The 15,101-nt window shown below is 40.3% G+C and overlaps 1 protein-coding gene and 1 long non-coding RNA gene across 18 annotated transcripts in view, besides 5 other annotated features; one reads left to right on the top strand and one right to left on the bottom strand.

The window, feature by feature from the left end:
* Window positions 1-695: 695 nt before the first annotated feature.
* On the bottom strand, window positions 696-1,403 carry RC3H1-DT (RC3H1 divergent transcript). The gene is made up of 2 exons (NR_187284.1): window positions 1,246-1,403; window positions 696-1,103 (listed from the first exon to the last, which is right to left on the bottom strand). It is a non-coding gene; the product is annotated as an RC3H1 divergent transcript (long non-coding RNA).
* Window positions 1,294-1,543: a silencer, noted in NCBI's record as "silent region_1559". NCBI's record gives its function as "represses an Ori minimal core promoter by ATAC-STARR-seq in GM12878 lymphoblastoid cells {active_cell/tissue: GM12878}" and the evidence as "EXISTENCE:reporter gene assay evidence [ECO:0000049][PMID:35858748]".
* The window catches only part of RC3H1 (ring finger and CCCH-type domains 1), a 91,274-nt gene continuing 77,701 nt past the window's right edge, over window positions 1,529-15,101 (top strand). For 11 of the 17 annotated variants that reach the window (XM_047447106.1, XM_047447102.1, XM_047447101.1 and 8 more), the window contains exon 1: window positions 1,529-1,790. The gene's annotated coding sequence lies outside the window, so the exon portion shown is untranslated. The remainder of the gene's footprint in view (window positions 1,791-15,101) is intronic. The other 6 variants (XM_047447096.1, XM_047447104.1, XM_047447095.1 and 3 more) reach the window with 1 other exon arrangement.
* Window positions 1,654-1,973: a silencer, noted in NCBI's record as "silent region_1558". NCBI's record gives its function as "represses an Ori minimal core promoter by ATAC-STARR-seq in GM12878 lymphoblastoid cells {active_cell/tissue: GM12878}" and the evidence as "EXISTENCE:reporter gene assay evidence [ECO:0000049][PMID:35858748]".
* Window positions 2,180-2,719: an enhancer, noted in NCBI's record as "NANOG-H3K27ac-H3K4me1 hESC enhancer chr1:173990305-173990844 (GRCh37/hg19 assembly coordinates)". NCBI's record gives its function as "activates a minimal SCP1, AML or CMV promoter by ChIP-STARR-seq in primed H9 embryonic stem cells {active_cell/tissue: H9 hESC(primed)}" and the evidence as "EXISTENCE:reporter gene assay evidence [ECO:0000049][PMID:30033119]".
* Window positions 2,784-2,903: an enhancer, noted in NCBI's record as "active region_2119". NCBI's record gives its function as "activates an Ori minimal core promoter by ATAC-STARR-seq in GM12878 lymphoblastoid cells {active_cell/tissue: GM12878}" and the evidence as "EXISTENCE:reporter gene assay evidence [ECO:0000049][PMID:35858748]".
* Window positions 8,729-8,929: a silencer, noted in NCBI's record as "peak466 fragment used in MPRA reporter construct". NCBI's record gives its function as "represses an SCP1 promoter by STARR-seq MPRAs in K562 erythroleukemia cells {active_cell/tissue: K562}" and the evidence as "EXISTENCE:reporter gene assay evidence [ECO:0000049][PMID:32103011]".

The raw sequence follows: 15,101 nt of genomic DNA, 5'->3' as shown, positions 1-15,101 counted from the left end.
TAAGGAGCCTTACCAACTGTGGTATAACTATTAATAGTTCAAAGAAATTACATTATCTAGGTTACTTGCAATGGAAGTTGAGTTACTCGCTTCACCTAAACAAGGAAGTTGGCATGTTTGCCTAGCAACAGTCGCTAAAACCTTCTGTTGTGGAAGGTTCCCTAGGAGTGAGAAGAAGGGAGGAGGAGGAAAAGCAGGAGGAGCAGATTAATCTGTTTTTCCTAGCAGGGTACAGAGGCCTGGTCTGAGAAGGGAAAGGCTTTAAGAGATCCCTTTAGATTGGCACATGCTAACCTAAATCCCCCTGTGGTAGCTAGAAATTCACTCTCTGTAGGACTGGGGTTACTATTTAGTAGGCTGAAAAGACGATTACAGATTAAACCCAGTTCAGAGGCAGCAAATTCCAATCAGTGGAAAGACAACAATAGGTCTTCTAAACAGAAGCTGAGATCTCAGTAGCAGGAGGGTGCTAACAACTAAAAAGAATTCTTCTCTGCCAAGAGTTTAGGAAGGTGTGTGATATTTCTTAAAAATAATACAAAAACACTATCTGTGATAGCGATTCCAATGTATCAAGTTAAAGGCAGAAGTGCTTCTCTTGGGGTACTGTGATGTAAACAGTGAAGAAAGGACAGAAAAACATAATCTCTGCTCTCTTGGTCAAATCCTGAAGCAAAAAAGGTGATAGCGCCGAGTAGAGGTATTAAATGGTTGTTTATTTGGGGACTCTCTCTCTCCTCTATTCTAGATGATTTATTTTGAAATTAGTACTGTATGGTGTTACAATAATCCCATTTCTTCCCCTTCTCAAAAGCGAGGGTTTGGCTAAAATGAATTGTCTGAAGGGACCTCCCATTCCCCAAAACCAAAACGGCACCTTTTCCACAAGGGACAAGAAACTTTTAAAGAGTCGCAAGGTTAGATTTCAGGAGCCCTTCTATGGGCCATATCTTTTCCTGTCGTCCCCAAATAGCTCTTATTGTTCACACAGCCCAGGAGAGACGTTTTGGAGTAGCGTGTCCGGGCCTTTTGGGCTGTTTCACAGCCTTAGGAGGCTGAACTCCCAGAGGGGTGACGAGGACAAAGCTGATGAGATCCAGAACCTGGATAATATGGAAGAAGAAAAATGGGGTGGGGGACAAGACGTGAAAAAGAAACAAGAGTTGGGGGACAACGGCTGAGAAAGCCGAAAGAGTAGACGTAGTGTGGGGTTCGATGGAAACGAAAGAAATTCCCCCAATTTACTCTCGCCATCTGGCCACTGGCCCGCTGAGCCCAAAGGCGCCGGTGCGGGAGGGCAGACCGGACCGAGGGACCGGTTCATCTGCTCAGGGCGTGTGAGACTTTCGGTCGCGGCGGAGAGCGTCGCCGGTCTCCCTCCGGGCGTTGGTGGCCGGTGACTCAGAGCTTTGCTCCCGCGCCCGCCCCTCCCCTCCGCCCGCCCCGCCTCCTGAGGGAGGATCCTCGCCCTCGTCTCCGCCCCAGTCTCCGGGGCGGGCCGGAGCCTGAGGAAGAGGAAGGGGACGAGGACAACGAGCGACTGGGCGGCGGAGGACGAGGAGGAGGAAGAGGAGGCCGAGCAACAAGATGGCCCCTGCTGCAGGAGCAGCCTCAGCAGCAGCAGGTGGGAGGCCGGAGGCGGTGCTGGCGGTGGCGGCGGCAGCCGTGGCCCGGCGGCCTGGGACAGAATCAGAGTCAACGGTGGCCTCGGCGGCGGCGGCGGCTGCCGCGGCGGTGGCGACGGCCGCGGGGACTCGGAGCTGAGAGGAGCTGCTGCTCGGACCAGCGCGGTGAGCGAGCGGCGGGCGGCGACTTGGGGAGCGGGGCTGCCGCGGCCGGGGCCTCAGTCGGGAACAATAGGCAGCTGTGGTCGGGAAGGGTTTGTCCTCGCCCGCCCTCTGCTCCTCCGCGGCAGCGGCAGCCCGGCCGGCCCCAGGCTCCTCAGGGCCCCCGCCGGCTGTTCTGGGGCTTGTCAGTGGCCGGCGTCCTTTAGGCCTCAGGCCTCTGCATGCCGCCTGTAGGGCCTGTCGGGGTAGGTAGGCCGAGAGGAGGACGAAGGGAGGCTCGGACGAGAGGGAGGGGGCGAAAGGGCTACCTGGCTCCTGTGGTACTCCCAGGGCCTGGGCCAGGCGGGGAATGCGCACGGGAACTGCTTTTTGGACCCCTAGTCTGTGGGGGTGGGGGAGGGCGAAGGCGTCTGTAAACAGGCGCCGCCTCGGCCTCCCAGCACCTCAGGGCTGCTTCCTCCCCCAGCCCCTGAAGCGCTCCCCTTCTTTGGCCAAGTGGATTTCACGGTGTCTGTTTCCCTGAAGTCCCTGGAGATCTAGCCTGGTAGTCTTCTCCCTGCTGGCGATGGGAAAATTGTGTGTGTGCAGGTGTCTTTAAAAAAAAAAAACAAAAAACTTAAATGCAACAAAAACATATAAAATGTGGTTATCGGTAAAGGATGGAGTGGTAAGGGATGCGCCTCTCTAAACATCTCTAAGTATCAGTTCTATAAACATCAGTTATGCCCGCATCCCAGGTGAGAGTGGATTGAAACAAGGGCTCTTTTGGAACAGTAATAACACAACTCTTGACATACCAGAATAGCCTATGAAACTGGAAACAAACACTGGCAACGCGGAGACAAACTGTAATGTTTAAAGAGGACTTTTATTCCAGCTAGGCGTTTTGAATTACTAACATGCAGTATAAGAAGCAACATTAACTAGCATAAAGTGGACCTCAGGAAGCACTTCGAAAGGAGACAGGTGGTTCATCTCCGGCCATAGAGCTTCTTGTGCCTTGTCTCGTGTTTCAGTAATTTTTCCTGAAATTGTTCAAGACCAGTCTTTTCTCTGAGTTTGAAATTTGATTTCGTTTTTGTTTTGTTTTGCGACGGAGTCTTGCTCTGTCACCCAGGCTGGATTGCAGTGGCACAATCTCGGCTCACTACAGCCTCCACCTCCCGGATTCAAGCGATTCTCCTGCCTCACCATCCGGAGTAGCTGGGATTACAGGCGCCCGCCACCATGCCCGGCTGATTTTTGTATTTTTAGTAGAGACGGGGTTTCACCATGTTGGCCAGGCTGGTCTGGAACTCCTGACCTCAAGTCATCTGCCCTCCTCCGCCTCCCAAAGTGCTTGGATTACAGGCGTGAGCCACCTCGCTCAGCCTTAAACTTAATTTTTCAAGGCTTCTACCACATTTTCTTACAAGTGAGGGAAAAGGTAGATTTATTTCTAAAGTACTTTCTACCTAGGTATGCAGAAATTTATATTAAAATCGCTTGGATACATCCAAGGAGATTGCTTTTCACTTGTTAACATTCAACTGCAAGGCCTAAGGGTTATAGGTTGTGTTCTTTTCAGCACTGACCTGTGCTGAAAAGATGCCAGTTAATATCTTTCACCTCTTCTAAGGGTAAATTTCTAAGTAGAATTGGTCCAAGTCTGTTCTAATTAAAAACATTATAAGCAGCACTAGTCTAGTTCTTAGTTCTTCCACAACAATTGACACTGAATAGATTAGCAATTGAATAAACATAAAGGTTGAATTTTCTTGTTTAGGATTTGAAGTATAGTGAATGAATATCAATACTGACCTTCATTTTATGCTTAGCATAAATAATGTTGGAGATGTTTTGATTTTTTGAATGATGGAGAAATAACAACTTTCTATGGCTCCTGATGTTGTGACTTTTTTGCAGATATTTCAGAAAGGACACCGTTTTTCAGGTGCTCAAATCTGTGATTTTTTTTTTTTTTCTGTGCTAATTTTGTTAGGTCAGCACAGATTCCAAGTAAAGTCTGTGTTATAATGATACTTAAATTTATGTATGGCCCTAAACCTATTAGAACAATTGTAGTAATTTATAGGTTGTAAGTTTTAAGTGGTTCATGTGCTGTGTTATGAAAACAATCTCACCGTGTTATGTCAAGGGCAGATTTACCTCATATTTAATATCATTTTCCTGAAAATAAATATTTTTAAGTGGTAAGGTTTTGTATTTCAGATTGGTTATTGACCCAGCAATTTATGGGCTTAGTCTGGGTCCGTATTTCTGTTCAATAGGAAAAAAATTTAGGGAATTGTTTTTATTTATTTTGTGTCAAAACAGTTTTAAGTTTTGACACAAACTCAACTGTCCCTTCTTCAGTATCAATACTTATTACTTAAGTTCACATTTTCTCAGGTAATAAAAATTTACTTCTAAGAAGTTTTGGAACCAGAGCTTAAGAATTAGATTTATATTTTCTTGGTAATATTAAAAGTTAATATATGCTTGATTTATTTGAAGAAATAAAAAAGGGTAATTTGTACACAACGCCTTTCAGAACATATTTGTTGAATGAATAAAAATATTTAAGCTTCCTCATTATGCTGCAGTATTAGTTCTGTTGTCCTCATTTTTTCATATGAAGAATGTGAAGCTAAGAGTAGCTATGTAACCAGCAAAAAGATCACATAATTAATAGGTAAAAGAGCTTACTCAGACTCAGATCTTGTGACACAAATTAGATTCTTTGCCACTACCACATGTGTCACAGTTAAACTTTGAAGCATCTTCTGTGTTGACAGATTCCTTTTTTTGCCTGTGAACTTACCCTATTATCATTATTTGTATCCTGTCAGATATCTACTTGTAAGACCAAGAAAGTATTTGTTCATGTGAATCACAAAAGAAACACTTAAATTTTTGTTTTTAGCATATCTGAATGCTATAAAATATAAAAACTCATACTGTTTACATAGGACAGATTTATCATACTGCTGTAATTGTTTTCATGGTTAATTTGTTACATAGGCAATTACTAAATTGTGCCTTTGAAATACTTTATAAATTTTTTTAAATAATTAAAGATATTCAATGATGTTAAAGTTGGGTCAGCTAATATTTGAAGTTCTTAATTTATAATTTTTTTTCTTTAAGCCATAGATAATTTAGAATTCTGCAGTATTTTTCATCTCCAGATCTTAGGGCTTGAAATGGATTCTGATGGGTCTAATCAGTCCACTCTTGCATATATCTTGAAAATGGTCAGCATCCAACAAAGTGAAGAATAAACTGATAAATGATCCCTGTTTGGTGAACACCTCAGATCAGGATGTTCCTTGGCAGGGTATTCTGACCTGGTTTAGCTTTGGCCCCGTCTGTGCTCAGGGTTCAGGTATTCTGCAGGATTGGGTTCAGAGGGATTAAAATTCTCAGATTGGCCTGTATCAAAACAGTCACAGATTTTGGTCAGCCTTTTCCCAGAACCGTCTCCAAGATTTTTTCTTTTGTGTAATTCTGGAATCTAGGCTGGATTTGGACTAGCTTTAGAGGTTATGATAAAAGATTAATTTTGTCAGGCATTTATACAAAGGAGGTTTTCTTACTACAGAGTTTCTTAAGGTAGATTCCTTCTATTTTTGAAGTGTGACATTTACCAATCTGAAGTAATGTTGCCCTACATCCCCCAGACACTTAACTTTAGCATATTTATTTCTGTCCATTTTTGGTCAGGATTGTGCCTGTTTACTTATATAATATTCTTGTTTACTTTTTGTTTATTAGATACTTCTTATTAGTTTATATTGTTTTCCTGATTGAGGCTTGGGGAAAGAATTTTCCTCAAATTTAAAGTCACCTTACTTATTTGCAGATGTATGTCAGAGCAATATTCTTTTGACAGTTATCAAGCATTTTAGCAATGCTGTATGTATATATTATGAATGAATGACAGAGTCACTCATGGTCTGTCACCCAGGCTGGAGTGCAGTGGCATTATCATAGCTCACTTCAGCCTCAAACTCCTTGGTTTAAGTGTTATTCCCGCCTTACCTGGCTACTTTTTTTAATTTTTATTATTTTTATAGAGATAGCATTTTGCTGTGTTGCCCAGGGTGGTCTCAAACTCCTGGGAGCAAGGTGATCCTCCCACTTCTGCCTCCCAAAGTGCTGAGATTACAGGCATAACAATGTTTTAAACTGACACTGGTATACCTTCACTGATTATTACTGTGCACATGTGGTAATAATTTAACTTATAAGTGCATTTTATCTAAAAAATTTCCAAGATCTAAATAGCATTTGAACATGGTAGCAGTTTTTTTTTTTTTTTTTTTTTTTTTTTGAGCAAGAAAAGAGTTCTAAAGGGGTCAGTTTTATCTACAGATTAACATAATTTTTTTTATTGAGGTTAAGTCACATAACATTAACCATTTTAAAGTAAACAGTTTAGGTGGCACTTTATACATTCACAATGTTGTTCAACCACCAGCTCTAATTCCAGAATGTGTTCATTACCCCAAAAGGAAACACTGTACCCATTAAGCAGTTACTCTGTATTCCCCTCTTCCCTAATCCCTAGCAAACGCCATTCTGCTTTCTGTCTCTAATTTGAGCCAACATCGAGGAAGAGTACTCTGTACAATTGAAATTGCAGAAAAAACTTTGGGATGTGATTGTTAGGAATAAAAAACCACCTAATTCTTTGCATGCTTCTCTAAGTACAGTAGACATGCTGCCAGGGACTCTTTATGGAAGAAAAGTTGAGACTCATAGAAGTTTGCAGTTTTGTTTTGATCACCCCAGAGGGTTTTGCTCAAACTCTTAGACTCATTTGTATTTCTTCATTGGGTTATAAGAACTAAAATTTAATGTTCTATACAAATGTGAACAACTAATACTTGGTCTCCTATCTAGAACTTGTTTGCCTTTTAGGTTTTCTTAATGTATAGAAGAAACTAGGAATATTCACAAAGGATTTATTTGAAGTTACACTGGGAAACGATTTTTAGAATTTGAAGCTCTTTGATCCCTGTGAATCTAACTTTATGACTATTTTATTCAGCTAATCTTTGAGAATATTTAGAGTTTTGATTTGCGTGGCACTCTGCTTTTAATCCCTTGTTGAATAAGTGTTAGAAACCTTGATCTTGGCCCTATACCTGATCACCTCTAAAAACATGAACAGTGTTACAAAGGCAGTTGTTTAGTAAGCTTTTTTGGATTGTTTTAATTGGCTGACTGAGGGAGACAAAATTAGTTTTTTTTTTTCTTTCTAGAATAAAGGGTAATAAACTTGGACTTTAGAGTTACTGCTAAGATTGACATTTCCATTTGGGGCTTTAGAAATATATTGTTATCTTAAATTCAAAATGGTACTTTATCTAATTGAATTGAAATCTTAAAATTTATGAGAAACAAAAGTCACTTTATGTTCTTAGTAAATATTTCTAATGGGGTTATAGGAGATCTAAGTACAAAAAAAATTTAAAATTTTGTTATTAATCTCCCCTCCTTAAGGAAAATTTTATTAATATACATAATTATAATTTAGTTATAAGAACAACTTAAGTTGAGTACAGTGGCTCAAGCCTGTAATCCTAGCACTTTAGGAGGCCAAGGCAGGAGGATCTCATGAAGCCAGGAGTTCCAGACCAGCCTGGGCAATAGAGTGAAACCCCACCTCAAAAAAAAAAAAAAAAAAAAGGAAACTTAAAAAATGATAAGGAAAAGGATTATGTCAGAATATTTAGAACTCTGCAGTAAAATTTCTGGTTTTCTGTAATTTTTTTCAGGAAAATGTCAACTTTTTGTAAATACATGTTTCTGTGTTTTTATATATGCCTCATTAATTTTTTAGACTAACATTTAGTGGAAAGCTAATGTACTCAATTAATACATTTAAATTATAAAAATAACTTTTTTTTTGAGACGGAGTCTTGCTCTGTCACCCAGGCTGGAGTGCAATGGCATGATCTCGGCTCACTACAACCTCTGCCTCCTGGGTTCAAGCAATTCTTGTGTCTCAGCCTCCCAAGTAGCTGGGATCACAGACTCATGCCACCATGCCCGGCCAAATTTTGTATTTTCAGTAGAGATGGGATTTCACCACGTTAGCCAGGCTGGTCTTGAACTCCTGATCTCAGGTGATCTACCTGCCACGGCCTTCCAGAGTGCTGGGATTACAGACATGAGCCACTGCACCCGGCCGAACTTTTATCTTGAAGTAGATAGTGTCAACAAATACAAAAATAAAAATAATGTCTTTAAATGAGGTGATGTTTAGAGCTATATCCATGAAAAATATGGGATAGGCTAGGAGGCGGTGACTCATACCTATAATCCCACCACTTTGGGAGGCCGAGGTGGCAGGATCACTTGAGGCCAAGAGTTCCAGACCAGCCTGGCTAACATAGTGAGACCCCATCTGTATTAAAACATATATATATATATATAAAATATGAGGCCAGGTGCAGTGGCTCACGCCTGTAATCCCAGAACTTCGGGAGGCTGAGGCGGGTAGGTCACAAGGTCAGGAGTCGAAGACCAGCCTGGCCAAGATGGTGAAACCCCATCTCTACTAAAAATACAAAAAAATTAGCCGGGCATGGTGGCAGGCACCTGTAATCCCAGCAACTCAGGAGGCTGAGGCAGAGAATTGCTTGAACCCAGGAGGCGGAGGAGGTTGCAGTGAGCTGAAATCATGCCACTGCACTCCAGCCTGGGCGACAGAGCGAGACTTGTCTCAAAAAAAAAAAAAGTGTAGTGGAAAACTTTTGAATGAAACAGAATCACTAAATTCTTAGCTTTATTATAGAACAGTATTTAATTTGTCCAGGTCTCAGTTTAGATTAAGAAGTAGGCCAAAAAAAAAAAAAAGGCCTATAATTATCAGAAAAATTAATGAACTAAATCATCTGCACTAACATATTGGTTTAGAAGTTCTCTTGCTTTGTACATAATTCAAGGAATTTGATTATCTATTTTCTCGTCCCACAGCAGATTAAAAGGTGCAAATTAGATGTTGGAGTAGAGCCATATAGGTAGGATGGAGGGCCAGCTGGGTGGCAGGAAAAAAGTCACATTAGCCTGAGGCTGTTTAAAATAGGGACAGCAGTTACCTATACAACACCTCATTAGACTCTGAGTATATCATTAACTGTTATATTGTGCTATATATAAAGTATTGCTCCTGATGGAAAATTCATTGTGGGAAAATTATGTTTGTAATTTTGGGAATCATAAACATATATACAGTAGAGTGGTGTATATTAGAATATAGACCTCGCTAAAAAAAATAGAACATACACTTTGGAGTCCAGTATATCTAGGTTCTCATCTTCTATGACTTAAGCATTATAATTCCTCATCTCTAAAAACAGAAATGGTAATACTTTTATCTAAAGGTTGTTTGGAAATGTAAATAATAATATCTTTAGTATAGTACCTGACACCTTTAATGAATGTTATTTTCCTCCTTAAATTCTGTTTAACAAAAATTAGAAAGATATTCATCCAGAATATTTTTGATCAAGTTCTACTGTAAAATGTTAATATAGAAGCTACATATAAAACCTTATATAGTTTAGGGTTAACTGTATGTGTACTTTTGGGAGTGGTAGTCAGAAATGAAGTAATTCTTCATATGCCATTCTCATTTTCTTCCCACATCAGTCTATTTATATGGGCCTATGCTGTTCAATACTGGCCACTAACTATATGTGGCTATGTAAATTTGAGTTTTTTGAAAGATTTTTTTTTTTAGAACAGTTTTGGATTTACAGAAAAATTGCTCAAAAAAATACACAGTTCCCATTTATACTGTCCCCCACGGTTTCCTCTGTTAGTATCTTGCATTAGTGTGGTGTGTTGGTTATCACTGAGGAACCAGTGTTGATACATTATTAACTAAAGTCCATAGTTCACATTAGGATTCACCCTTTGTGTTGGACAGTTCTATGGGTTTTGCCAAATGCATAACATTATACATCCACTATTCTAGAATCGTGCAGAATGGTTTCATTGACCTAAAAATGTCCCATGTTCCACTTACTCATCTCTGCCTCATCCCTCTGAACCTCTGGCTACCACTGATCTTTTTACAGTCATAGTTTTACCTTTCCAGAATGTCATGTGGTTGGAATCATAGTATATAGTCCTTTCAGACTGGCATCTTCACTTAACAATATGCATTTAGGTCTCTTCGTCAGTATCTTCTTCTTTTGTTTTTGTTTAAAATAGAGATTGGTCTTGAACTCCTGGGCTCAGGCAGTGCTCCTGCCTTGGCCTCCCAAAAGTGCTGGGATTATAGGCGTGAGCCACTGTGCCTGGCCCTCTTCATGTCTTTTCATGGCTTCACAGTTTATTTATTTTACTGCTTAATAATATTCCATTGTGGCTGAGCATGGTGGCTCACGCCTGTAATCCCAGCACTTTGGGAGGCCAAGGATCACGAGGTCAGGCGATCAAGACCATACTGGCCAACATGGTGAAACCCTGTCTCTACTAAAAATACAAAAATTAGCCACACGTGGTGGTGTGAACCTATAGTCCCAGCTGCTTGGGAGGCTGAGGCAGGAGAATCGCTTGAACCCAGGCGGCGGAGGTTGCAGTGAGCTGAGATCGCGCCACTACACTCCAGCCTGGCGACAGAGTGAGACCGTGTCTCAAAAAATATATATATATAATAATAATAATATTCCATTGTATGGATACATTTAAATTTTATTTAAAATTTAATTCCTCCGTCTCACCAGCACATTTCAAGGGCTCAATAGCCACATGTACCTAGTGGCTACCATATTGGAAAGCACTGATATATATGATTCCCCCAAGGTTCAATTCTCCACTTCCATTCACTCTCATGGAGAACTTTCCTGTTTATATGATCTCAGTTTTTCCTCAAGCCTACATTTTCAATGCATTATCTATTTTGTTTTGTTGCTTGTACTATCAGCAACCCTCAATTGGTTATTTAAAATCCTTTACTCCCCCAAAGAACCATTATTTTCAAATGTTGTCCATTATAGTATGGTTTCCTAGGTTTTCCATCACAGCATCATCTCTTTTTAGTCTGCTCTTCTTTTTTTTAATTTTCTAAAATTTTATTTTGTTTTTGATCCTTCTTTTTTTAAAGAATTTATGTTGCAGCATTCTATAATAGTCTGATCCTTTTTGTCCTTAAACTCTGGAATCATCTTTTTGTTTTTTATTTTCCTCTAAACCTTTTGAATATTTAGCAGAGGTGTGCAGATCTCAGCACTAATAAATGGCAGAGTTGGTATTAGAATCTAGATCTCCTTATTCTAGTTCTTTCTTTTCTTTTCTTTTCTTTTTTTTTTTTTGAGACAGAGTCTCACTCTTGTCGCCCAGGCTGGAGTGCAGTCGCGTGATCTTGGCTCACTGCAAGCTCTGCCTCCTGGGTCCACGCCATTCTCCTGCCTCAGCCTCCCGAGTAGCTGGGACTACAGGCGCCCGCCACCACACCCGGCTAATTTTTTTGTAGTTTTAGTAGAGACAGTGTTTCATCATGTTAGCCAGGATGGTCTCGATCTCCTGACCTCATGATCCGCCTGCCCCGGCCTCCCAAAGTGCTGGGATTACAGGTGTGAGCCACTGTGCCCGGCTCTAGTTCTTTCTTGGGATCACCACTATTTGGGGCTACTTTTAGAAGTTATTTTGAAGAGGGTATTGGAGACTGATTATGTATTATGTGATTTAAAATATCTTTATAAGTTAAATCTATAGAAGCTATAGCTATAGATTTCATAAACATATTATTTATAATTCTTTAAACAATTAGAAACTAAAATGAGGAAATTTATCCTAATCAGCTAAATAGCTGATTCTCTCGATGCAAAAATATTTGTCCCTTCATATGTTACCTATTTTTTTTTTTGAGACAGAGTCTCACTCTGTTGCCCAGGCTAGAGTGCAGTAGAGGGATCAGGGCTCACTGCAGCCTTGACCTCCCAGGCTCAAGTGATCCACTCACCTCAGGCCACCCCTGCCACCTCATCCCCACCTGGTAGCTGGGACTACAGGTGCGTGCCAGCACACCCTGCTAATTTTTGTATTTTTTGTAGAGACGGCGTCTTGCCGTGTTGCCCAGGCTGGTCTCGAACTTCTCGGCTCAAGCTATCTATCTGCCTCAGTCTCCCAAACTGCTGGGATTAGTCATGAGCCACCGTGCCTGGCTGTGACCCATTTTAGATGACAAAAACTAATTTTCAATGCTAATACGAATTGGTTGTTAAAGGTGAATATAATTAAACTGAACATTATTGGCATCCTAAATCCTTTATTGGCCATAATTTACCTTTGGATTCTATTCAAACTACACTTTGATCTGTAGAACCCAAATTGGTTACTATATGAACTTGCATCTTCCTAAACTCATCATGTTAAAAATTTTCACAGCTTGAAAAATGGAGGTCCTCATATCAGTCTCTTGATTTTCTTTTGAGGTAAGCTGTCCCTCTGTGCTTAGTCCTTGACTAAAAATAATCGTACTGCTTATGGTCTTGATTTGACTTTTCTGTATACTGGTTACACTGGCTCAAAAGTCCATTTTTGTGGAGACTCTTAAAAAGTAGTAGTCTTCCACATTCAAGTACTGTACTTGAAAAAAAAAAACCTGGATTTCAGCTTTCATTTAGAAATGCTTTCCCTGTAATTACTACTTTTAAAACCCATATTTTATATGTCAATTTTTACATTAATTACCCCATTGATAGCAGTTTTTGAATGGTTTTAGTTAAAACTGTCAATCTTCTTTGCTTGAATCTAGCCTCTCATTAAGTTTATCAAAAACTTTAAAAAGTAAATGTAAGACTCTTCATATAGTGTTTTTTTTTTAATTGAGTTATGGATTCTTTGGATTTATTCATTATCTGAGTTAGTTTTTTCAGAAATGTCTTCTTATTTTGTAGGTCTGTGGTTGATGAAAACCTGTTCATGAGGGCACAAAAGACTCTTCCAGTTTATTCTATCACTATAAAATAGAATTTGATGGATTTCGAAGTAAGAAAATTCTTAGAATAGAAAATAGGATGGTAAATCTTTAAATGCATATGAGTAATTAGAATATCATAAGGCTAGTACAGATAATATTCTTACAAAGGCATCCATAAATAGTGAAGTGGTAGCACCTATTCCCCCATGATTGACATTCATTAATTAATCCATTGTACCCAGAGTTTTAAGATGAAAAGCTTTAAGTACCTTCTTCCCCTCATGAGTAATCACTCCTCAGTGAACATACTATATGCTTATTGCCATTTGAATATCCTTTTCTGTTCAAGTGTATCATCCTTTTTAAAAATTGAGTTGTCATGGAAGAATTTGATGTAGGTAAGTGACTATCAGCTGTGAGGAAGGTAGAGGAAGGCAAGAACTATCCTGAGGACAGAGATCAGTTAAACCGTTGCTGTGTGGTCAGGTGTGATGGCTCACTGGGAGGCCGAGGCAGGAGGATCGCTTGAGTCTAGGAGTTTGCAACCAGCCTGGGCAATATTGTGAGACCTCGTCTATAAAAAAAATTAAAAAAACAGCCAGGCATGATGGCGCATGCCTGTAGTCCAGCTACTGGGGAGACTGAGGTGGGAGGATTGCTTGAGCCTGGGAGGTCGAGGCTGCAGTGAGCTCTGATCATGCTACTGCATTCTAGCCTGGGTGACAGAGTGAGACCTTGTCTCAAAAATTAAAAAAAGAAAAAAGGTTGCTTTGTGATCTAGGTGATAAGACTGTATTCTGTATGAGAGCAAGGACTTTATTTCATTCAGGACTATATCAGTTTCTGGGACACTGGCACGTAGTAGATGCTCAATAAGTAGTTTTTGAATGAATGACTAAGGGCCTCAATCAAGAAAGTGGAGATGAAAAGGAAATTATAGATACAAGAGGTAATTTATTATTATCATTTTACTTATTTTTAATTTTTGTGGGTACACAGTAGGTATGTATATTTATGGAAGATTTTTTTTTTAATGGAAGATAAAAGTGAGGACATCAGGCATGATTACCAGAAATGTGCATTGTCTAGTGGTATCACTAAAGAAAGATTACAGAAGGAATCACCAGCTCAAAAATAAGAATAAATTTAGTTGCCAAGTGACCATCATATTACCTAACATCTCTGTTACAGTGTTCTTGGCCCTAAAATTAATAATGAGACCAAATAGGCTCATTGCGAGGACGAAGTGTTTGCATGTGATCCGCATAAAAGACTTCCTGGCACATAGAGTGTACTCAAAAATAGTTAAAGATAGAAACAAAAATCTGTTTGTTTTTGAGACTGAGTCTTGCTCTGTGGCCCAGGCTATAGTGCAGTGGCACGATCTCGGCTCACTGCAACCTCTGCCTCCCGGGTTCAAGTGATTCTCGTGCCTCAGCCTTCCAAGTAGCTGAGACTACAGACGCGTGCCACCATACCCAGCTAATTTTTTGTGTTTTTGGTAGTGACGGGTTCACCATGTTGGCCGGGCTGGTCTTGAACTCCTAACCTCAAGTGATCTGCCCACCTTGGCCTCCCAAAATGCCGGGATTACAGACATGAGCCACCATGCCTGGCCCACTTTTAAGGAGCTAATATTTCAGTATCGATGGGTATACACTGTAACAAAATAAATATGAAACACAGATGTTGGATGAGAAGTATTATTGAGAAAAATTAATCAGGAAAGAGATGGGAAGCATGCAGTTTAACATGTGGTTGGATAGCAGAGGGCTGGGGAGGGATTGAGATTGGGGCATCTATTTGAAATAAGGTGATCAGGGAAGGCCTTCTCTGAAGGAATTCATATATTAATGCCTATACAGAAGTGGGGAGAAGGTTCAGGGTTGGAGGAAGAGTAGGACAAACTATGTTCTTAACCAGGGTCCCTGTTTTTACCAAGCAATAAATAGACTTATCTGTTTATTGTGCAATCCACAGTGGTTAGACTTATCTCAACCTTTCATTTCCTCTTCCCTATAACATGCACACTATACAAACCTAAGCGTGAATTTAATCCCTGAAAGATCATCATTACATATTTTGGAGGAAGTGTCATATTTGATTCTGATACAGCAGCAGCCAGTCAGTAGGTTCTCTAACATTAGCAGCTACTTGGGAATCAGCAAAACATCTCTTTTTTTTTTTTTTTTTTTTTTCAGACAAAGTCTCACTCTGTTGCCTAGGCTGGAGTGCAGTGGTACGATCTTGGCTCACTGCAACCTCCGCCTCCTGGGTTTGAGTGATTCTCCTGCCTCAGCCTCCCAAGTAGCTGGGATTACCGGTGCCCGCCACCACGCCTGGCTAATTTTTGTGTATTTAGTAGAGATGGCGTTTCGCCATGTTGGTCA

This window comes from Homo sapiens, chromosome 1, assembly GCF_000001405.40.
Source record: "Homo sapiens chromosome 1, GRCh38.p14 Primary Assembly".
Lineage (NCBI taxonomy): Eukaryota > Metazoa > Chordata > Mammalia > Primates > Hominidae > Homo > Homo sapiens.
Note: the sequence above shows the minus strand (reverse complement) of the source record. Positions and strands in the feature narration are given on the sequence as shown.